This window comes from Homo sapiens, chromosome 6, assembly GCF_000001405.40.
Source record: "Homo sapiens chromosome 6, GRCh38.p14 Primary Assembly".
Taxonomy (NCBI): Eukaryota; Metazoa; Chordata; class Mammalia; order Primates; family Hominidae; genus Homo; species Homo sapiens.
Window position 1 is genome coordinate 127,218,225 of NC_000006.12, and position 25,707 is coordinate 127,243,931.

Below are 25,707 nucleotides of genomic sequence, written 5' to 3' on the forward strand. Positions count from 1 at the left end.
ATTCATTTTCTATTGCTACTTAACAATACTACCACAAACTTAGAGGCTTAATCATCTCTGTGGGTCAGCAGTCTGGTCATGGCTTAGCTGGATCCTCTGTTCAGGGTCTCACAAACCTGCAATCAAGGTGTTGGCCATACTGTCATTCTTCTTCAAAGCTCAGTGTTCTCTTCCAAGATTATTCAGGTTATGGGAAGAATTTGGTCCCTTGCAGTGTAGGACTGGGGTCCCCATTTTCTTTCTGACTATTGGCTGGTGACCATTCTGAGTTTCTAGAGACCACCTGCAGTTCCTTATCATGTGCCTTCCACAGGCAGTGCATAATCTAGCTCTTTGCTTTCTTCCAGGCCAGCAGGAATGTATCTGCTGATACTTCTTATTTAAGACCTCATCTAATTAGGTCAGGCTCATTGAGGATAACTTCCATTTTGAGATTAATCAGTCAACAAATTAGTAATCTAATCATGCAAGTGATATCATATTCACAGTTTTACCCACACTCAATGGGTGGGAGTAATACAAAGTCACAGGTCATTGAGAGTCATCCTAGAATTCTGCCTGTTGTATATAGCATACCATGCCACCCACTCCCTATAAATAGAACAATTAAAACAAGATTTTATAAGAAGTGCTACTTGGTGTAATCTTTTTTTGCACACCAGAATCTTAACTATAATAATCAATTCAGTCTAGGAACTATTATGAAATAGTATTACCTCAAGGATTTCTCAAGTTCTTGATTTTTTTCCTAAATTCATTCATCTCTTTGTCATTCACTTAACAAATATGTGTTGGCCATCTACTCTGTGCCAAGCACAGTGGTAGACACTCATGACAAGATATCATGGTCTCAGCCTTTGCAGAGCATATAATTCAGTAGGAAGAATAAAAGAACAAAAAAACCCAAACAACTAAAGAAACAAATAGGCACAATATTTGCTAATTGTGCTAAGACCTTTCAGTCATTGTACGGCTTTCTAGTCACCGAAGACCCTTAAATTATTCTCTGGGTCTTCTTGCTATTGGATGTGACCTCAACTGGAATTTTTTCCAACCAGAATATTTTATCACTTATGGTTAGTTTGGCTACAAACAAAATAATAGTGACTTAAACTAGAATGAAATTTATTTCTGTCTCATGTTTTTTGTAAAAAAAAAAAAAAAGCCTAAAGATATGCGCTAGAGGGCTTGTATGGGACTGAGCTATGCTTCAGGGCTGAGCTGGGGTAGAGGAATAGGATAATGAGGTCATAGAGGTCACAGTTTAGCCAGCTCATGTCAGGCTCTCCCCTTGAGTACAATGGGCTACCATTGGAGGGTTTTGAGTAGAGCCATGGCATGCACTGATGTAGATTTCAAAAGACTGCCATGTAACTGAGGCAAGAGACGTTGCAGCTAAGACTAAAATGGTGGCTGCAGTATCAGTGAGAAGTGGTTAGATTCAGATTTGTTTTGAAGTGTAGGAACAACAAGATTTCCTGATAGAATGAATGTGGAAGTGTGACTCTAAGGTGTTTGGTCTAACTAGCCAGAAAATGGAGTAGCCATCCACTAAGATGGAGAAAACTATGGGTACAGAGAGATTTAGGGCAAGAATCAGGAGTTCAGTTTGAGATGTTTTAGACATTCAAGTGGAGGTGTTGATGGCATTCAGATACTAAAGTCCATCCATTGAGAGAGGTCTGGGCTAGAGATACATATTTAGGAATTGATAGTATATATACAGCATTTTAATTGATGAGGCAAAGAAGAGTAGTCCCAGCTACATCAACCTTAGCTCATGACTTCCACCTCATGGCCCAAGAAAACTGGTCAAGTTCCATCTGGACTGCATTACAGCCAGCTGAAAAAGCAAGGAAGCAAAAGGCGTATGTCAGATGACCATTACAGAGGGTTTTGTGAAACTATAAACAAAAATCCAAAAACTTATGCTCATGTCTTGTTGACCAGAACTTAGTCACATGGCCATACCTAGCCACAAGGAAGATTAGAAAATAAAACCTTATTTCCAGGCAACCAAATGTCCAACTAAAATCCAGGGTTTTAATTACAAGAAAGAAAATGAGAATGCAAACTACAGTAAACCACTAGCAGTCCCTGCCGTGCAATAAAAACTCCGAGGTAGATTTCGGTGGAGTAAGAAAAGTCCACAACTTTTGGCCAGTTTTGTAAATAGGTCACTCATTCTAACCCAATCTGAAGGCCCAGTCTCATCAACTAGAATTCCCAATATAGGGTTTGCAGCTGAAGCCCCAGCTGAAATGGTGTAGCAATGTATTCATGGGATAAAATAAAACAAATGGAAGTCTTGGAATCAACATATGTGACAGCAACCCACCTTGGACTAGCTTAAGAAAAAAGGAAGATTTTTTTTTGCAAAGGTATTTGTCTCATTTTCAGAACTTAGAAAATTACCAAACAACCAGAACTTTGGGAGAACAAGTGTTGAACTAGCCTCAGGGATAAACCAGATACTGAAGAGATCTTCTAAATATGGGACATTCCCCCTACTTCTCATCATTTCTATTACTTTGGGGAACTGGATGGTGACAGCTTTATTTTCCTAAATTTTGCAATACAGTAAATATGTGGAATGCCTCCTAACTAACTAATCAAGGAGCACATCCCATGGCTCCTGATTAGAGAAGAAATAGAAAGAGATTCACTTCCTGGAAAGAAACTCTGGTTTGCTCAGTTTGGGGAATATTCCCATCCATGGGCAAATGACTGTCAGCTCCCATCCGAACCAGGTGGATGAAAATACAAATGAATGAGAGCTGCACATGAAGAAGGGGGAAAGCTACTGAACAAATAAATTCATCAGAGCTCTTCTAAATCTGGAGTTGACATACTAACACTTTGGAAGTCCTGAACAATAGTTCCAACAGCAGGAAAAGAGGCAAAAATAAAATCTATGTTCCTGTACTATTATGGAATTTTATATTTAGTCAGGAATAATTTGAGGGTAAAATCCATTTAAGGGACTTCTTTTGTGGGAACCGAGGAAGTTCTTGATTAAAAGAAGGGGTTTGTTTTGTTCAGTTTTAGAGAAAAAACAAAACAACTTTCCGGCACTTTATATCTCTGGCCTTATATAACTGAGCTAAGCTTGTGTCTGGTGTATGTTGTATAATCCTGGCTAATTTTTCCGCCCAGCTGCATAAGAAGAGCCAAAGAAGCTCCCTTGAGGTCTCCCCACAGCCAACCCAAAAAACACAGAGGCTGGGAATCCAACCAGCTCTGCCCTACCCTTTGAGCCAAATACTATCTTAGTCTTCAGTGCTTTCCTCCACTGCTTGTCGTTAGAGGTGTGCTTTCCTTGACTCAATGAGTGTTGACATTGAGAATTCAGATTTAAACTTTGGAGTTGAAGCAAAGAAAGCAAGTAGGTCTTCCACTCAACTTTTGTCCTAGACTACATAGGTCCAATTAACCAAGCCGAAAGAATCAGTGAATGGTTAAGCCAAGCTCAGCCCACCCGAGATCTCCATGGGAGTGTGGAGCCAAACCCAGATAGTAATAAAATATTATTTTATTTGGTTTTGTTTTCTACATATGTATTTTTTACCTGGATTTGTGGGTACGGTACCTGTTAAGAATCAAATTAAGGTGATTGAGATGCCCTATCCTGACTAGCCATAGCCATATCTCTTTCCATAAAATCTCTTGCAGTTCACATGTACATATGTGTGCATACTCAGACATTCATCTATTTTATCATAACTAAATACGTACATATACATATGGAAGTTGATAAACTAATATAGCAGGGCTCTAAAATAGACTTTTAGCTATATTTTACTAAGGAGCTTATGAGACCCCCTTAGCCAGTTTGATTGAGGATATCTGGTATCTGTACTGCTCCTATCTGGAATCCTCTTATATTCACTTCTATTGCCCTGATAGTTTTTATCAGGCCACCTACCCTGGGATTTGTGTCTTTCTTATTTAAAAGCCCTCATTACTATTTTCAGACTAGTTTTCATTTTTGTATCTACAAATGCTTAAATTTCACTAATCATCTGATTTCTATAGAGAGTTGACTCTCCTAATTTGTGCCACAAAATAATTTCAGCCTGCCTTATTTCTTAACCTTGAAAGGTTCGTGTGTGCTTGTGTGTGCACGATCTCTCACTCTCTCACTCTCTCTCTCTCTGTCTTTTACTCTCTCCCACCTCCTTTCCCCTGTTTATCTGTTTCTTTCTAAGATGGATGGATGGGTGGAAGAAAGGAAGGAAGGGAGGGAAGCGGGGAGGAAGAGAAGAAACTTCTCAAGAGAGCATTGGTATTATGTTGCACAAATTTGGGCAAGAACAGTTGTCTCTGGATGGGGTAATAACAACTTTTACATTGACTAAAGTAGGAATATCATGTATGACACATCCTGTGTCAACACTGACTACAGCAGTTGAGTGTGTATCTATTTAACCATTTTACACACAGCACCATAGAGTTTATGGTGGACATAGTTAGAACTCCATATTAGTTTTCTTCTCTTTTGGTAGAGAAGAAGCACAGAGGTGAGGCAAACATTTACAAGACACCTAGAGGGGGCAAAAAGAGACTCAGACAAAAGAGAGACCATGGCTGCCAAATACAAGCTTCCCTACTTCTGTGCCTCATGCCTTGCTCTCAGCTGGCCTTTTCTGTGCTTTAGATACCCTTCAGGGAAAGGCTTTGCAGGGCTTAGGAGTGGGCTTAAGAGTCCATTTGGCACCTTTGAAATCAGGGAATCAATAAGAAATTGTCTCTCTCTTGATTTTTTCAGGATGGCCTGGGTCACCTCAAATAGCCCAATAGTATCAGAAGAAGTTAACTCTTCCCACCTAATTTAGAAGTGTGCTGACCTGAAAAGGTTAATTAACCTGTGATTGTCACCTTGAAATGATTATTCTTCCCTCACATCACTGGTACTTGTGCCAACTTGCAAATACAATCATAACACACACAAAAACTGAGTTTGAATTAAGGCACAAATATGCTATGTTACTCATCTAAAAAGAAAGAGAAATTAAGTTCTAGCTAGTTAGATATAACCATGTTGTGACACAAAAGGTAGCCACCAGATGAGGATACCACCTGCTAGATGTTAAAGTACCAACACTTGTGAGTGACTTGTTTTTAAAAAGTAAATTTGAACAGATTCAAATTTTATTCCTAAAGTATTATTACTCCCATTCCTTGCATTTTGATATATGTGCAGCCAGGACAGTCTCAGTGTTCTGTCTAGATCTCTTTGGATTTCCTTTACTATTCCTGAGCAGCCCTCCTCCAGTTTCTGGCCTATACCTCAGACTCTTACAAAAACTACCTGAAGACAACTGAAGCTATTTTGCCTACAGGCTAAGAGCAAAGGAGTTGAAAGTTCCTGGGAGCTTATGTACCTCCCACATCCCCAGTCCTTGGCTGATTACTTACTGATGCAAAAGTATGAAATCTTGGTCTTTTCCTTCTCCAATCAGGAAAACGCTGTGGTGAATTTTACATTTCAGAGAATTTGACATTTCCACAAAATCAGGCTGAGGCTCTTACCTGGCTTCTCCTGTATTCCTGTCCTGCTGACCCTATTTCCTTCCTGGAATCTCCTGCAAGTACTTTCTTTACAAATCACTTGTACACACACACATTCTTGTCTCAGGGTTGATATGCTTCTGAGAAAATTTACTTAAGGCAATACATTGTCTTGAATAGACGAGAAATGATAAACTTAGAGATGTTCTGACGGAAATTGCACAAGCCCCTGATATGGTTTTGGCTGTGTCCAAACCATATCATCTTGAATTGTAGTTCTCATAATCCCCACGTGTCATGGGAGGGACTTGGTGGGAGGTAATTGAATCACGGGAGCCGTTACTTCCATGCTGTTTTCATGATAGTGAGTTCTTACGAGATCTGATGGCTTTATAAGGGGCTTTTCCCCCTTTTGATCGGTACTTCTCCATCTTGCCATCATGTGAAGAAGGACATGTTTAGTTCCCCTTCTGCCATGATTGCAACTTTCCTGAGGCTTCCCCAGCCATGCTGATCTGTGAGTCAATTAAACCCCTTTCCTTTATAAGTTACCCAGACTCTAATATGTCTTTATTAGCCACATAAGAATGGACTAATACACCTCCCAAGTCTACTCAGAATTGTCCCTTCTAGGAATGTCATCTGTGAGATGTCTCATTCCAAAAAAAGGGATTGAAATCCTTCCCTATACTAAGCCTGGATGAGGAATCTTTTCATATATTGCACTTCAGGAGGGAAAAATTTTAAAGTCAATGTCTATACAAGTTTAAAGATTATTATATAAATTGTGGATTTTTTTTTTTTTTTGAGATGGAGTTTTGCTCTTGTTGCCCAGGCTAGAGTGCAGTGTTGTGATCTCAGCTCACCGCAACCTCTGCCTCCCAGGTTCAAGCGATTCTCCTGCCTCAGCCTCCCGAGTAGCTGGGATTACAGGCATGCACCACCATGCCCAGCTAATTTAGTATTTTTAGTAGAGACGGGGTTTCTCCATGTTGGGCAGGCTGGTCTTGAACTCCTGACTTCAGGTGATCCACCCGCCTTGGTCTCCCAAAGTGCTGGGATTACAGGCGTGAGCCACCGTGCCCAGCCTAAATTGAGGAATTTTTTTTAACAGAGAGAAGTGTACTACAATCTACTCATCTTTTAAAATTAATAATGGGAGTGTTGAATTCTACTGACTTGCTCAGATAATAAAATTTTTATGTCAGTTACTTTCCAGAGAAATGTGATAAGTAGAAGCGAAAAAGACAAGGAATAGAGACAAGGAAACACAGTGAGAATTAGAACTTATAAATGATATTTAATGCTTAGGGCTATCATTCTAATACACACATATGTATGTGTGTACATAGACATACATGTACATGTATACACACATGTATTTATCTAGATATTTATTAACTTATACACACAACAATTCTATAAGGTGAAGACTATTATACCCTCATACTTCTGATGAGAAAACCCCAACAACACTAAGATGTGAAAAAATTTGCTCGAGGTCATCCCACAGTAAATGGCAGAGCTGAAGTCTGGTCCCCGGCAATTGGGCTCCAGTGTCTGTGTTCTAATTCACTACCTGTCCTGGGAGAAAGTGAGAGAAATTAGTAGAAAGAGCCACTGAAGGGGAAAGAAAAGGGAAATAGAAAGTTAATTAAATAGGCAAAACTGACTCATATAAACATAAAGATCAGGCAGAAAAGAATCAACGGAGAGAAACACAGGCACATTCCACAGAGGCGATGGGAAACTGATATAAAGAGAGTCTCGTTGTAACATAATTACAGACAGAGATCCATATGCAAAAAAGGACATGCATACTTTATAAAGATAGACCAACATGCAAACCAAGGCAGAATATACATATATCAAACTATGCCAAACTTAATGACTTAAAACAATAACCCTTTTAGTATATATCATCATTCTGTGAGTCAGGAATTTGGGCATACTCAGCTGGGCAATTATTTTGCTCCACAGGGTGCTGACTCACTAGTTTTCACCTGATCCAAGGTGGTTTTACTTCCATTCATTATGTCTTGCTGTGGACAATTGGAAGGCTGGGCTCAGCTAGATTCTTCTGTCTCTCTCCACATATTCTCAATATTCTCCATGTGGTCTCTCCAGCAGTGTGATCTGACTTCTTGTTTTGTCCCTGGGGGCTTTAGGAGACTGAAGTAGAAGCTGTCAATCTCATAGAAACAAGGTCTACAACTGTCATAATCCCTAACACTGCACTCCATTAGTGGAAAGAGATTAATGGCAGCCCAGATTCAAGGAGATAGCAAATAGGCCCTACCTCCCTATAGGAAGAATGTCAAAGAATTTGTGGCTGTTGTTCATCTGCCACACGATTTGACCAGAAACAGGCTAATAATGCACAGATGTGTGAGAAACTAGGGAGGGTTCAAGCTTTGGACACTTTCCAGAAGGAAGTGTCACAGATAGCTAGAGTTTAAGAGCAGAAAATGTCTCTGATACTACTGGTAAAACTGAAGATTGGATAATTGTGGAAAAGGAAAGAAATGAAATTACAGATTTGGGGTTATAGTCATGCACATTTGTTTAGATCTAACTAAACATGCTGTACTACTTGGCCCAAAAGGTTTTCTTCATGTCCTAGATGACATGTTTACATTGTGCGTATTACCTTGACTGCCTACATGACTTTCCCGTTCTGCTTCTGCAACCATGTTGTTAAGATTGTAAATTCTGCCATTTTTTATTGTCCTTTATGTTTCTGAAATGTATTCTATCTGTAAATATATCTGGATACATATGATCCATTAATAGTACATAGTCTCAGTCAGGAGGCTCCTGTTCGTTTGATAATTCAGAGACATACAAAAAGGTAGCAATGGATACAAGCCTGGTGTAATAGGACTAACCATTAACCAATCACATCAGCAGTAATTCCCCTTCCCAGGCCAAAATAGAATAGTTCAAAGCAAAATAGGTGGTTTGGACAAAGCATTCACTGTGTGGTCAAGCAGAAATCTGCCATATCATTTGCAAAGTGCATGACTTGTTTAAGTCATACTTAATATGAAGTTAGTACTACTTATTTTCTAGAGTTGTTAGGATCATTTAAGAAAAGATATATCATGTAGATAGCACATAAGAGCCATTCAATAAATCATAATAATTATTATTAATATTATTTCAACTATAATATGATGCAAGTAAGGAACTACAATAAAATACAAAAACCCATATATACAGCACATGAATCTGGTTAAATATCTGTGTTCTAGAACTTTAATTTCTAAAACAGATAAAATAATATCCATATGTTCCTCATATGATTATGTATTGTCGTTAAATATGAAGACATGTTACATTATGGTTTTTTAAAAAACTTATTTTTAGAAGTACTGTTTGCTCTCTTGTGGATTTGAATTGACCAGCGTTTGACTTGAAAATTTTCTGTTTGCTTACACATTTTTCATGTACGTGAAGATTTAGAAGATATTATTGTTAATAGAAATAGAATGAATATAAAGGTGAATAGAATTTAACAGTAATAGAATAGATTGAAAAGTAAAATATTTTATGATTCCAATGACTGTTTTTGTGACTAAGCATATTCTTTAGATAACAATTATTTTTAAATGATTCTCCACAACGTAAAACTAATATACTTAAAAATGCAAGTAGTACCACAAAAGAAAGTTCCCAATAAGTTGGTTGTCTTCTAAAACAGAAGAATACTTAAAATACACCATTATATCTATTTTTTTATATTCCCTTACTCTGGCATTTTCTCTTTGCTATATTTCCAGAATTTGGTTGCCAGTTCTGTTTTTCTTCTCTCTCTCTCCAAGTATTCTCAAGACTCTCCATGTAGACCCCACAAGTATAATTAACCTCTCCCTCAGAATTCCTTGTTTTTAAGGGGAGTATGTTGTGTTTTTTTCTTTAAGAACTTTTTTTTTTTTTCCTGAGATGGAGTCTAGCTTGGTCACCCAGGCTGGAGTGCAGTGGTGTGATCTCAGCTCACTGCAACCTCCGCCTCCTGGGTTCAAGCAATTCTCCTGCCTCAGCCTCCCAAGTAGCTGGGATTACAGGTGCCTGCCACCATGCCCAGCTAATTTTTGTATTTTTAAAAGAGACAGGTTTAACCATATTGATCAGGCTGGTCTCGAACTCCTGACCTCCAGTGATCCTCCCACCTCAGCCTTCCAAAGGCACCCAGTCTTCTCTAAGAACTATTTTGGCATTTTAATTTGATGCCTTATTTAAGAGTCATTTGTGTTTATGTCTGTCTCCCATACTTGATTATAAGCTCATGAAAAGAAGAAAACTAACCCCATGTCCCCAAAATACAAACCAGAAAGCTTTATACATAAAAGATATTCAATAAGAAAGGTTAAATTTACTAATGCACACACATAAACCAATCATGCACTTCATTAACCAACCAAACACTGGTAATAATATAAAACAATAGGGCTGGCAAGATGGCCGAACAGGAACAGCTCCGGTCTGCAGCTCCCAGCAGCAAGATCAATGCAGAAGGCGGGTGATTTCTGCATTTCCAACTGAGGTACCTGGCTCATCTCACTGGGACTGGTTAGACAGTGGGTGCAGCCCATGGAGGGCAAGCCGAAGCAGGGTGGGGTATCACCTCACCCAGGAAATGCAAGGGGTAGAAGGACTCCTTCCCCTAGCCAAGGGAAACCATGAGGGACTGTGCCATGAGAAATGGTGCACTCCGACCCAGTTACTACACTTTTCCCATGGTCTTTGCAACCTGCAGACCAGGAGATTCCCTCAGGTGCCTATGCCACCAGGGCCCAGGGCATCAAGCACAAAACTGGACAGCCATTTGGGCAGACACAAAGCTAGCTGCAGAAGTTTTTTTTCCATACCCCAGTGGTGCCTGGAATGCCAGCGAGACAGAACCATTCACTCCCCTGGAAAGGGGGGCTGAAGCCAGAGAGCCAAGTGGTCTAGCTCAGTGGATCCAACCCCTACAGAGCCCAACAAGCTAAGATCCGCTGGCTTGAAATTCTTGCTGCCAGCACAGCAGTCTGGTTGACCTGTAATGCTCGAGCTTGGTAGGGGGAGCGGCAACCACCATTACTGAGGATTGAGTAGGTGATTTTCCCCTCACAGTGTGAACAAAGCCGCCGGGAAGTTCGAACTAGGTGGAGCCCACTGCAGCTAGGCAAAGCCACTGTAGCTAGACTGTCTCCCTAGATTCCTCCCCTCTGGGCAGGGCATTACTGAAAAAAAGGCAGCAGCCCCAGTCAGGGGCTCATAGATAAAACTACCATCTCTCTGGGACAGAGCACCTGGGGGAAGGGGTGGCTGTGGGTGCAGCTTCAGCAGACTTAAAAGTTCCTGCCTGCTAGCTCTGAAGAGAGCAGCAGATCTCCCAGCACAGTGCTTGAGCTCTGCTAAGGGGCAGACTACCTCTTCAAGTGGGTCCCCGACCCCCGTGCCTCCTGACTGGGAGACACCTCTCAGCAGGGGTTGAAAGACACCTCATACGGTAGAGCTCCAGCTGGCATCTGGTGGGTGCCCCTTTGGGACGAAGCTTCCAGATGAAGGAACAGGCAGCAATCTTTGCTGTTCTGCAGCCTTCGCTGGTGATACCCAGGCAAACAATGTCTGGAGTTGACCTCCAGCAAACTCCAGCAGACCTGCAGCAGAGGGGCCTGACTGTTAGAAGGAAAATTAACAAACAGAAAGGAATAGGATCAACATCAACAAAAAGGACATCCACACAGAAACCTCATCCGAAGGTCACCAACATCAAAGACCAAAGGTAGATAAATCCACAAAGATAAGGAAAAACCAGTGCAAAAAGGCTAAAAATTCCAAAAACCAGAATGCTTCTTCTCCTCCAAAGGATCACAAATCCTTACCAGCAAGAGAACAAAACTGGATGGAGAATGACTTTGACGAATTGGCAGAAGCAAGCTTCAGAAGGTAGGTAATAACAAACTCCTCAGAGCTAAAGGAGCATATTTTAACCCAATGCAAGGAAGCTAAGAACCTTGAAAAAAGGCTAAGGAAATTGCTAACTAGAATAACCAGTTTAGAGAAGAACATAAATGACCTGATGGAGCTGAAAAACACAGCATGAGAACTTTATGAAGCATACACAAGTATCAATGGCCGAATCGATCAAGCGAAAGAAAGGATATCAGAGATTGAAGATCAACTTAATGAAATAAAGCATGAAGACAAGATTAGATAAAAAAGAATGAAAAGGAACTAACAAAGCCTCCAAGAAATATGGCACTATGTAAAAAGACCAAATCTACGTTTGATTGGTGTACCTGTAAGTGATGGGGAGAATGGAACCAAGTTGGAAAACACTCTTCAGGATATTATCCAGGAGAACGTCCCCAGCCTAGCAAGACAGGCCAACATTCAAATTCAGGAAATACAGGGAACACCACAAAGATGCTCCTTGAGAAGAGAAACTCCAAGACACATAATTGTCAGATTCAGCAAGGTTGAAAAGAAGGAAAAAATGTTAAGAACAGCCAGAGAGAATGGTCGGGTTACCCACAAAGGGAAGCCCATCAGACTAACAGCAAATCTCTCTGCAGAAACCCCACAAACCAGAAGACAGTGGGGAACAATATCCAACACTCTTAAAGAAAAGAATTTTCAACCTGGAATTTCATGTCCAGCTAAAATAAGCTTTATAAGCAAAAGAGCAATAAAATTCTTTGCAGACCAACAAATGCTGAGAGATTTTGTCAACACCAGGTCTACCTTACAAGAGCTCCTGAAGGAAGTACTAAATATGGGAAGTAACAACTGGTACCAGCCACTGCAAAAATATACCAAATTGTAGAGATCATCGACACTACAAAGAAACTGCATCAACTAATGGGCAAAATAACCAGCTAGCATCATAATGACAGGATCAAATTCACACAAAACAATATTAAGCTTAAATGTAAATGGGCTAAATTCCCCCATTAAAAGACACAGACTGGCAAATTGGACAAAGAGTCAAGACCCATCAGTGTGCTGTAGTCAGGAGACCAAGCTCATGTGGAAAGACACACATAGGCTCAAAATAAAGGGATGGAGGAATATTTACCAAGCAAATGGAAAGCAAAAAAAAAAGTAAGCAGGGGTTGCAATCCTAGTCTCTCACAAAATGGACTTTAAACCAACAAAGATCAAAAAAGACAAAGAAAGGCATTGCATAATGGTAAAGGGATCAATGCAACAAGAAGAGCTAACTATTTTAAATATATATGCACCCAATACAGGAGCACCCAGATTCATAAAGCAAGTTCTTAGAGACCCACAAAGAGACAGTGTCTCAGACCACAGTGCAATCAAATTAGAACTCAGGATTAAGAAACTCACTGAAAACCTGACACCTACATGGAAGCTGAACAACCTGCTACTGAACGACTACTGGGTAAATAAGGAAATTAAGGCAGAAATAAATAAGTTCTTTGAAACCAATTAGAAAAAAGACACAACATACGAGAATCTCTGGGACACAGCTAAAGCAGTGTGTAGAGGGAAATTTACAGCATTAAATGCCCACAGGAGAAAGTGGGAAAGATCTAAAATCAACACCCTAACATCACAATTAAAGGAACTAGAGAAGCAAGAGCAAACAAATTCAAAAGCTGGCAGAAGACAAGAAATAACTAAGATCAGAGCAGAAATGAAGGAGACATGAAAAACCCTTCAAAACATCAATGAATTCAGGAGCTGGTTTTTTGAAAAGATTAACAAAATAGACCGCTAGCCAGATTAATAAAGAAGAAAAGAGAGAAGAATCAAATAGACACAATAAAACATGATAAAGGGGATATCACCACTGATACCACAGAAATACAAACTACCATCAGAGAATACTATAAACACCTCTACACAAATAAACTAGAAAATCTAGAAGAAATGGATAAATTCCTGGACACGTGCACCCTCCCAAGACTAAATCAGGAAGAAGCCGAATCCCTGAATAGACCAATAACACGTTCTGAAATTGAGGCAGTAATTAATAGCCTAACCAACCAAAAAAAAAAGCCCAGGACCAGACACATTCATATCCGAATTCTACCAGAAGTACAAAGAAGAGCTGGTACCATTCCTTCTGAAACTATCCCAAACAACAGAAAAAGAGGGACTCCCCCCTAACTCATTTTAAGAGGCCAGCATCACCCTGATATCAAAACCTGTCAGAGACACAACAAAAAAAGAAATTTTCAGGCCAATATCACTGATGAACATCAATGTGAAAATCCTCAGTAAAACACTGGCAAACCAAATCTAGCAGCACACCAAAAAGTTTATCCACCACGATCAAGTTGGCTTCATCCCTGGGATGTAAGGCTGGTTCAACATACCCAAATCAATAAATGTAATCTATCACATAAACAGAACCAATGACAAAAACCATATGGTTATCTCAATAGATGCAGAAAAGGCCTTCGATAAAATTCAACACCCCTTCATGCTAAAAACTCTCAATAAACTAGGTATTGATGGAACATATCTCAAAATAATAAGAGCTATTTATGACAAACCCATAGCAAATATCATACTGAATGGGCAAAAGCTGGAAGCATTTCCTTTGAAAACCAGTGCAAGAAAAGGATGTCCTCTCTCACCACTCCTATTCAACATAGTATTAGAAGTTCTGGCCAGGGCAATTGAGCAAGAGAAGGATATAAAGCGTATTCAGACAGGAAGACAGAAAGCCAAATTGTCTCTGTTTGCAGATGACATGATTGAATATTTAGAAAACCCCATCATCTCAGCCCAAAATGTCCTTAAGCTGATAAGCAACTTCAGTAAATCTCAGGATACAAAATCAATATGCAAAAATCACAAGCATTCCTATATACCAATTATGGCCAAACAGAGAGCCAAAGCATGAGTGAACTCTCATTCACAGTTGCTACAAAGAGAATAAAATACCTAGGAATACAACTTACAAGGTATGTGAAGGACGTTTTCAAGGAGAACTACAAACCACTGCTCAAGGAAATAAGAAAGGACACAAACAAGTGGAAAAATATTCCATGCTCATGGATAGGAAGAATCAATATCATGAAAATGGCCATACTACCCAAAGTAATTTATAGATTCAATGCTATCCTCATCAAGCTACCATTGACTTTCTTCACAGAATTAGAAAAAACTACTTTACATTTCATATGGAGCCAAGACAGTCCTAAGCAAAAAGAACAAAGCTGTAGGCATCAAGCTACCTGACTTCAAACTATACTACAAGGCTGCAGTAACTCAAACAGCATGGTACTTCTACCAAAACAGATATATAGACCAACGGAACAGAACAGAGGCCTCAGATGTAAGGACACACATCTACAACCATCTGATCTTTGACAAACCTGACAAAAACAAGCAATGTGGAAAGGATTCCCTATTTTATAAATGGTGTCGGAAAAACTGGCTAGCCATATGCAGAAAACTGAAACTGGACCCCTTCCTTACACCTTATACAAAAATTAACTCAAGATGGATTAAAGACTTAAACATAAGACCTAAAACGATAAAAACCCTAGAAGAAAACCTAGGCAATACCATTCAGGACATAGGCATGGGCAAAGACTAAAACAACAAAAGCAATGGCAACAAAAGCCAAAATAGACAAATGGGATCTAATTAAACTAAAGAGCTTCTGCACAGCAAAAGAAACTACCATCAGAGTGAACAGGCAACCTACAGAATGCGAGAAAAGTTTTGCAATCTATCCATCTGACAAAGGGCTAATATCCAGAATCCATAAGGAACTTAAATAAATTTACAAGAAAAAAAACAAACAACCCCACCAAAAAGTGGGTGAAGAATATGAACAGACACTTCTGAAAAGAAGACATTTATGCAGCCAACAAACATGAAAAAAAGCTCATCACCACTGGTCATTAGAGAAATGCAAATCAAAACCACAATGAGATACCATCTCATGCCAGTTAGAATGGCGATCATTAAAAAGTCAGGAAAAAACAGATGCTGGAGAGGATGTGGAGAAATGGGAACACTTTTACACTGTTGGTTGGAGTGTAAATTAGTTCAACCATTGTAGAAGACAGCGTGGCAATTCCTCAAGGATCTAGAGCCAGAAATACCATTTGACCCAGCAATCCCATTACTGGGTATATACCCAAAGGATTAAAAATAATTCTACTATAAAGACACATGCACATGTATGTTCACTGCAGCACTGTTCACAATAGCAAAGACTTGGAACCAACCCAAATGCCCATCAATGATAGACTGGATAAAGAAAATGTGGCACATATACACCATGGAATACTATGCAGCCATAAAAAAGGATGAATTCATGTCCTTTGCAGCGACATGGATGAAGTTGGAAACCGTCATTCTCAGCAAACTAATACACATGTTCTCACTCATAAGTGGGAGTCGAACAATGAGAACACATGGACACAGGGAGGGGAATATTACACACTGGGGCCTCTTGGAGGGTGAGAGGCTATGGGAGGGATAGCATTAGGAGAAATACCTAATGTAGATGATGGGTTGATGGGTGCGGCAAACCACCATGGCACCTGTATACCTATGTAACAAACCTGCACGTTCTGCCATGTATCCCAGAACTTAAAGTATAATAAAATATATATATGAAATGATAAATACTAGCTTTTTATACAAACACAAATATTTCTTATATTGGGCTTTTAAAACCATTTAGCCATACTAGAGTATTTCCAACTAGTTTTAATCCAAAAATACATCATCTAGTGTCTTAAAAGAGAATTGCAACTAGTATAATCTCTAGTTTTTAAACCAGTGCTACTCCAAGTACATTCTGAGGAACAGAGCATCATTAGGATGTGGGAGCTATTTAGAAATGTAATCATCTGGTTCCACCTGAGATCTATGGAATGAAAATCTCTACAATTCCTGACTCTCTCACAGGAGTTAGGAATCTGTGTTTTAACAAACTCACCAGGTGATTCTGATGTATGCTAAATTTTGAGATATTAACCTAGATACATATAAAATCTCAAAGCTAGAAAAAATCTGGGGATCTTTTAGTCTAGTCCTTTTTCAATTGGATGAGAAACTGAGATAAAAAAGGGATAAGGTTCATGTCTACGTAGCAGATCTGAGATCCCAACCAGAACTCTTGATCCCAAGCCTGGGTTCTCTTCACTTCAATAGTCCAAACAAAATGATTTTGAATTAATACCAACTGGAATTTGAGTTAATACTAGGTGCAATTTGGGATCCAAAATATAGTTATTACCAGTATTGCAAATTGTCAAATTAACCAAAAGTTATTGAATTAAAAAGAAGAATGGAAATGTTGTAGTCTTTGGCTGCTGGGAAGAAATCATGCAAAGTATGACATTTCTCTTCACCCCATCACTAAACAGTAAGCGTACAGGCATTGTGCATACACACAGATATACATAGGGAAATTTCACTCCAGATGTGTAAGTCTGGTATGATGAAGTCCTTCCTGCCAATGATGAATTTGGGAAGATCAGACATGTGTCTTATTCCTGACCTTAGAGGGAAAACATTAGTTAATAGATGCCCTTTATCAGATTGAGAGGATATCCTTGTGTTCTTTCTTTGCTGAGAATTTTGATTGGAATAGATGTAGGATTTTGGAAGTGCTATATGAGATAATTTTGCAAGTTCACTGTGATAACTTTTTAATATGATTTTTCTTTTTTAGCTTGTAATATTCTGAATACATTGATTTATTTTCTGCTAAACCAACCCTATATTTTTGGAATAAACCCCACTTGCTTATGATGTATTATCCATTCAATCTATTTTGTGTTCCATTTGCTAATATGTTTGAAATTTTTATACAGATGTTTATGAGAAATACAAATCAGTAGATGTTCTTGGTTTTTTGTTTGTTTGTTTGTTTCTTTTTTCCTTAGAATTCCCTTGCCTGGGTTTGATATTAGTTTAATAGTAGCCTCATAGAACAAAGTGAAAAGTATTCCTTATTTATTAATTTCTGGAACAGTCTACGTGAAATTGATATTGATTTCCTATTAAATATTTGTTAGAGCTACCAGGTAAGCAATCAGCCTGGAGTTATCTTTGTGGGAAGTTTTTGTTTGTTCATTTTGTTTTTGTTTTTTCCACTCCCTACCCCCTCTGCTGTAGGAAGTTTTATAACTACAATACTACAATTTCAAGTTCTTTAACAAATATAGGTATATTCAGATTACCCATTTCTTTTTGAGTGAGCTTTGATATTTAATGTCTTTCAATGTTTATGGTCTGGAAACTCTCTCAAGGCATTAAACTAAAGCGATTATAGGGCTGCCTCATTTGTTTACCATCTCTCAGAAATTACTGTTCTTTTTGCCTTATGTAAAATGTATTAAAAATTATTATTTAATAATATCTATACATTTTAAATTTGTCTTATATGCATGGGTATCCCTGTTTCTTAATTCTGACTAAAAGTGAAAGTTCTACATCATTCCTTTGATTGGCCTTTGCATGGTATATATTATCCAATGTATGGTATATCTTTTTCCATGCTTTTACTTTTAATCTAGCTGCTTTTTTTTTCTATTTAAACTTCATTTCTTATGTTAAGTATACAGTTGAGTCTGCCTTGAAGAAAAAAAAATTCCATCTGACCATCTCTGCCTTTTATGTGGTGTGTTAGGCTATTTACATTTAATATAATCATTAGTATATATTGATGTAAATCTACTATCTTGGTATTTGTTTTCTAATTGTCTTTTCTGCAACTTAGTTTTTTTCTGCCTTCTTTTGGATTCAGTATTATTTTTATTACATTTTATTTCTACTATTGACTTATTATCTACTCCTTTTTATTTCACTGTTTAATGATTGCTTTAGAGTTTGCAATATACCTCAATAACATCAAAATCCACCTTCAAATAATATTTTTTAAACTCGTATATAGTCTAGCAACTATATAATTATATGCCTCCATTTCTCCCTCCTGTTCTTTGTCATGTATTTTATTCTACTATTTTTGTAATTTTTTTTGGAGTACTTTAAACTTCACAACACATTGATATTATTTTTGCTTAAAACGTCATTGTCTTTTTTAAAAATTAAAAATGAGTTAAAAATCTGATATCCATTTTTATCTATCTTTTCTTTCATTGATTAGTTTGCATTTAAATTTCCTTCTGATATCATTTTCCATCGGCTTAAAGAAGTTTGTTGCATTGCCAAGACAATCCTAAGCCAAAAGAACAAAGATGGAGGCATCATGCTACCTGACTTCAAACTACACTACAAGGCTACAGTAACCAAAACAGCATGGTACTGGTACCAAAACAGAGACATAGATCAATGGAACAGAACAGAGCCCACAGAAATAACGCCGCTTATCTACAACTATCTGATCTTTGACAAACCTGACAAAAACAAGCAATGGGGAAAGGATTCCCTATTTAATAAATGGTGCTGGGAAAACTGGCTAGCCATATGTAGAAAGCTGAAACTGGATCCCTTCCTTACACCTTATACAAAAATAAATTCAAGATGGATTAAAGACTTAAACGTTAGACCTAAAACCATAAAAACCCTAGAAGAAAACCTAGGCAATATCATTCAGGAGATAGGCACGGGCAAGGACTTCATGTCTAAAACACCAAAAGCAATGGCAACAAAAGACAAAATTGACAAATGGGACCTAATTAAACTAAAGAGCTTCTGCACAGCAAAAGAAACTACCATCAGAATGAACAGGCAACCCACAAAATGGGAGAAAATTTTCACAACCTACTCATCTGACAAAGGGCTAATATCCAGAATCTACAATGAACTCAAACAAATTTACAAGAAAAAAACAAACAACCCCATCAAAAAGTGGGCGAAGGACATGAACAGACACTTCTCAAAAGAAGACATTTATGCAGCCGAAAACCACATGAAAAAATGCTCACCATCACTGGCCATCAGAGAAATGCAAATCAAAACCACAATGAGATATCACCTCACACCAGTTAGAATGGCAATCATTAAAAAATCAGGAAACAACAGGTGCTGGAGAGGATGTGGAGAAATAGGAACACTTTTATACTGTTGGTGGGACTGTAAACTAGTTCAACCATTGTGGAAGTCAGTGTGGCAATTCCTCAGGGATCTAGAACTAGAAATACCATTTGACCCAGCCATCCCATTACTGGGTATATACCCAAAGGACTATAAATCATGCTGCTATAAAGACACGTGCACACGTATGTTTATTGCGGCACTATTCACAATAGCAAAGACTTGGAACCAACCCAAATGTCCAACAATGATAGACTGGATTAAGAAAATGTGGCACATATACACCATGGAATACTATGCAGCCATAAAAAAAGATGATTTCATGTCCTTTGTAGGGGCATGGATGAAATTGGAAATCATCATTCTCAGTAAACCATCGCAAGAACAAAAAACCAAACACCGCATATTCTCACTCATAGGTGGGAATTGAACAATGAGAACACATGGACACAGGAAGGGGAACATCACACTCTGGGGACTGTTGTGGGGTCGGGGGAGGGGGGAGGGATAGCGTTGGAAGATATACCTAATGCTAGATGACGAGTTAGTGGGTGCAGCGCACCAGCATGTCACATGTATACATACGTAACTAACCAGCACATTGTGCACATGTACCCTAAAACTTAAAGTATAATAATAAAAAAATAAAAAATAAAAAAAGAAGTTTGTTTAATATTTCCTGTTGTATATGTCTGCTGGTAATAATTTTTTCAGGTTTATTAGTCTGAAAAAAAGTTCTATTTTGCTTTGTTATTTGAAACATCTTTTCACTGGATAAGGAATTCTATGTTGACCATATTTTCTTTCAAAGATTTGAAGCTGTTGCTCTGCTCTTTGCTGGCTTAACAGAAGTCTGTTGTTATTCTTAAACTTATTCCTTGTAATGTGACGTTTTCTCTGACTGATATTAAGATTTTCTCTGATTTTCTGTAATTTGATTATGATGTGATTTGGCATGCTTTCTTAATGATTTTTATTGAACTTCCTGGATCAGTGGGTTCCCTCCACCCCCTTTCCTCTGAGATTTCAATTATACATGTATTAAACTAGTAGATATTGTCCCACAGATCTTGATTCTTTTTGGGTTTTTATAAATCAGTACTTTGTTTTCTCTATTTGCTTTATTGTGTATAGTTTCTATTGCTATGTCTTCAAGATAACTAATCTTTTCTTTTATGATATTTAGTCTGTTCTTAATTCCATACGGTGTTTTCCATTTTAGTTATATTTTTCACCTCTCAAAGTTCCATGTGAAATGTTTTTATATGTATTTTTCTCATAATTTTATGTTTTGCTCTACATCCTTAAACATGTGAATTATGTTTGTAAGAGCTATTTATACATTGTTGATAATTTCGTCATTGTTATTATTTCTGGATCAATTTCTATTAATTGATTTTTCCGTTACTTATGGGTCTTATTTTTCTGCTCTTTTGCTGAACATTTTAATTTTAGTTTTGATTGGTAATGGGCATTGTGGATTTTATATTATCAATTGCTCTGTTTTGTTATTTTCCTTTAAATAATGTTGAGTTTTGTTTTGGCATGTTACTTGGAAAATTTAAATTATCTAAGAGGTAAGTTACTTATAATAAGTTGGATCATTTTGAGTCTTCTTTTAAACTTTATTACCGTGTGTCTGTAGTATAAAAACTAAAGTTTAAAGTGTTGTCTTTATATCTTTGAGCCTCATAGGATCCACTCCCATGCTGTGAGTATATGTGACCAATAAACTGCTGCCAAGATCTTTCTGTCCATTGTTAGGTATCCTGTGTTCAGTCGTCTTATACTATTTAGGGTGGGAAATCCCTTCTTCACCAGTGGGGTGAGTAGAAGGTCATCAGAACAGTATCAAAAACAGCCCTCCATCTGAGACCAATGTAGCACCACTAAAGTGATACCCTTTCAATAATTCTATCTGATGCTTCGTTTTACATGATCTTTACACATTCACTGCTAGGACCATGAACAGCTCTCAATTCTGTATGAATTGTAGAAATTATTCTACCTACCCCTTAATGGCGAGTCTTTCTGTGATCCTCAGGTAGTTTTCCTTTCACTCATGTGTACATCACTTAGCTAAAGACTCAAGGGGCCCCTCTAAAAATCCCTGGAACTCCTTTTGTGCAGTTTTCTCTTAGTAATCTCACTAGCAAATTCTAGCCAGCTCACCTTCCCCAAGCTCAGATTTTTTTTTTAAGTTTTTTTAAATTTTTATTTATTTATTTATTTATTTTTGAGACGGAGTATGTCACTCTGCCGCCCAGGCTGGAGTGCAGTGGCGCAATCTCGGCTCACTGCAAGCTCCGCCTCTTGGGTTCACACCATTCTCCTGCCTCAGCCTCCCGAGTAGCTGGTGCTACAGGCACTCGCCACCACACCTGGCTAATTGTTTGTATTTTTAGTAGAGACGGGGTTTCACCGTGTTAGCCAGGATGGTCTTGATCTCTTGACTTCGTGATCCACCCGCCTCGACCTCCCAAAGTGCTGGGATTACAGGCGTGAGCCACCACGACCAGCCTTTTTTTTTTTCTTTACAATTTAGCAAGACCACTAGGCTCTGTTTCAGTGTCTATACCTGTACAACAGCATGAAAACTGCCTCTAACCAATAAATTGGTAAAATCATAAGGCTCACTTTGTTTATTTCCCTTCTTTCAGGGAACACAGTACTGTGCTGTTTATTGTCCAACCTCTAAAAACTTCTGTGCCCCATGTATCTATTTTTGTAGTTGTTTAAGGCAATAGATTGGGTAAAATCTGGTCCCTATTAGTTAATCTTGAACAAATTCAAATTCACCAGAAAAGTTCTAATTTAAAATTTTTGTGTATTTTTAAACAAATATTTGTTTGCTCATAAATCTTTCTAAATATTTATTTTTCAAATAGAAATAAAAGCTAATTCCCCTTGAAGGAATGCTGAGATATTTATAGATGTATGAAGGACCTCGTCTTAAAGGCTTACTTTGAAACCCTAGAAACTCAGTTTTCACTAAGATTTGTTATTCTTAGTGTATTTGTTATTCTTTAGCAATGCTTCCCATTTTTTCTCAATTCCATCTTGCAGATCTTTTGTCATCGTATATCACTGGATTATCTAATCTTTCTATTTCCATTCTCGACCCTATTTTCAATCTCTTGCTCATCAATGCCAAACAGATTATTATTTATCACTATCTTCACCATAATACTATCCTGTTCAAAACTGATAGTTTTCTAATGCTTACATAATTAAATCAAAACTTTAAAAAATTTGAGTTGCCTTAAAACCTCTACCACAAAACAAATGTTATCTACTAGTAGTATTACATTCTGCCCACATTTCAAAACCCTACAGAATGTGTTTCTAACTTATTTCTGCTAGTAGTGACGGCCACAGATTTAATGGTATTAAACTAAAATATGGTTAGCTCCCTATTTTTAAACATCTACTCATCAGTATTTGAATGCTGCTTTAAGGGATAATTCTTCTGCTTTTTGATCTATCATTTATTGAATGTTCATTATTTGCCAATTGCTGTACTACATAATACATATATAACATATATGCATATTACATATATTATAATATGCATCTGTAATATATATTTGTAATATGTAGTATATGTCATATGTAATATATATAACACTATATATTACATATGTATATTATATTACACATATAATATAGGTTATATATGTGTTAAAGTACTTTACATATAATAAAATGTTAATTTTAATACAACACTGTATAGTAGATTCTATATCCATCTCCATTTTATGGTTGAGAAAATAGACAATTAAAGACATACACCAATATACACTGTAAATATATCACGGGACTTAAGATGTGTATATGGTTTCTCTGTTTCCAGAGTTGATCATCTTAACCAGCATGGGCAATGTAAATAGAATATGTAAGTGGGTAATGTAGAAAATATAAAGGACGCAACTTTTATTTATTTATAGAATCATATTCTATAAATAAATTCTATTATAATTCAAGCAACAAAAAGTAAGTAGAAAAAGGGTGATGTATGTGATAAAGAGTAAAAGCTCCAATGACTACTTAATAGTCATGTAACTTTACATACCATTGCATCTCTTACATACCACACCACTTTTTTCTAACTTTTAAGTTTAGGGGTACATATGCAGGTTTGTTATATAGGTAGACTTGTGTCATGGGGGTTTGCTGTACAGATTATTTCATCACCCAGGTACTAAGTGTAGTATCCGTTAGCTATTTTTCCTGATCCTCTCCATTCTCCCAACCCTCTGATTGGCCCCTGTGTCTGTTATTCCCCTCTATGTGTAATGTGTTCTCATCATTTAGGTCCCTCTTATAAGTGACAACATGTGGTATTTGGTTTTCTGTTCCTGCATTAGTTTGCTAAGGACAATGACTTACAGATGCATCCATGTTCCAGCAAAGGACATAATCTCATTCTTTTTTTATGGTTGCATAGTATTTCATGGTATTCTACTTTTTAACTAATATATCTAACTACCATTTATATAAATACTGTTTATTTAAGTACCATTAAATATATAATGCAAAAAATAGTTAAAATTAAATAATAAATTTTTAGAAGTACAAAAGGAGTAAATAAATGCACCATGTCATTCTTAAGTCATAAATGGTCAATTAGATCAAACATTATGAGTATAGGGTGTACCTGAATAATTTTATAAATAAGATTCATTTAATAGCTATGTATTGACTAAATTCTGCAGAAATTACACTGCCTTTTCAAGCATCTTTGTAATATGAAAAAAAATTTTGAATGCAGGATTTTGCATTAGCAAAACCTTAACAGAATGAAAAAATTGGTACAGAATAGACATAGATATAATGTGACACTAAGCAAATGATATTCAAAACATATGCCCCTCCTTAAAAAATTATTTATAGAGAAATCAATAGTCTTAAGTGTCTTTATTAAATTAAATACAAGGCTGGGTGTGGTGGCTCATGCCTGTAATCCCAGCACTTTGGGCAGCTGAGGTGGGCAGATCATTTGAGGTCAGGAGTTTCAGACCAGCCTGACTAACATGGCAAAATCCCGTCTCTACTAAAAATATAAAAATTAGCCAGGTGTGGTGGCATGTGCCTGTAATCCCAGCTACTCAGGAGGTTGAGGCAGGAGAATCGCTTGAACCTGGGAGGCAGAGGTTGCAGTAAGCCGAGATCGTGCCACTGCACTTTACCCCAGGTGACAGAGCAAGACTCCATCTCAAAAATAAATAAATAAGTAAATATTATATACAAAGTAACAAGGAAATAAGGGTTTACATCTAAGAAATTAGAAAAAATGAATAGCAAATGAAAAATAAGAAAGATGCTGAGCATTAAGGCATAGGGAAAATAAGAAAATAAATAAAAAGAAAAATAAGAAAGATACAGATGAAAGGAATTAAGAAAGCTAAAAGTTGGAATTTTTATCTCAGTAAAAAGATGAAATGGCAGAATTGGAAAGCATGAGAAGAGCATGAGCAAATAAAGCCAGCAGAGCTGGTACAGGTGCTTCTCTCTGACTATAAACATAGAAAATTGTGGAAGAAATAATTTTTTAAATGGCTTAATACAACTCTTAACTTGAAAGACTCTAGGAACCATAAATGAAGTGAAACAATGATAGAGAAGGAAGATGAATCTAATATCCCAGCCCATGGAGTATTCAACCAGGTATTTCAGTAAGGCCTGTTATTCTAAGGCAAACAAGCTGACTGAAGTATGACAAGGTGTCTAAACAGTGAAAAAATCTTCACACACTTCTCTCAGAATATGAGAGTCAAAGCAGGTAAATTTTTTAAGGATAAGAAGTTTTGAGCAACAAAATTTATAATTTAGAGAACAATTAGGGAATGCAGATTCTTTCTGAGCTCAAATGAGACATTTTTTAAAGCTGACCAGTTTCTAAGCCACAAAGTAGTCTCAACGAATGCCAAAAAACTGATAAGGTATATACCACATTTTATAACTACTTGGCTCTAAAACAAAAGTACTAATGAAAAGATAGCCTTAAAAAACAAGCAAACCAACATCTTAGTGGAAAACATCTGGGCATTTAAAAGAGCAAAGTTCTGGACAGGCCATGAGTCAAAGAAGAAATCATAATGGACAGTGGTTATTATTAAACATTAAGTCATGAATTACAATTAAACTCCCATATAGCAAAACTTGTGCACTGTAATTAAGGCAGTTTTTAGAGAAAAATGT

At 37.4% G+C, this 25,707-nt stretch overlaps 1 long non-coding RNA gene across 1 annotated transcript; it reads right to left on the reverse strand.

Moving 5' to 3' along the window:
* Window positions 1-6,785: 6,785 nt before the first annotated feature.
* LOC124901398 (uncharacterized) lies at window positions 6,786-10,791 on the reverse strand. Its single transcript, XR_007059749.1, has 2 exons — window positions 7,505-10,791; window positions 6,786-7,095 (listed from the first exon to the last, which is right to left on the reverse strand). It is a non-coding gene; the product is annotated as an uncharacterized LOC124901398 (long non-coding RNA).
* Window positions 10,792-25,707: the final 14,916 nt, after the last annotated feature.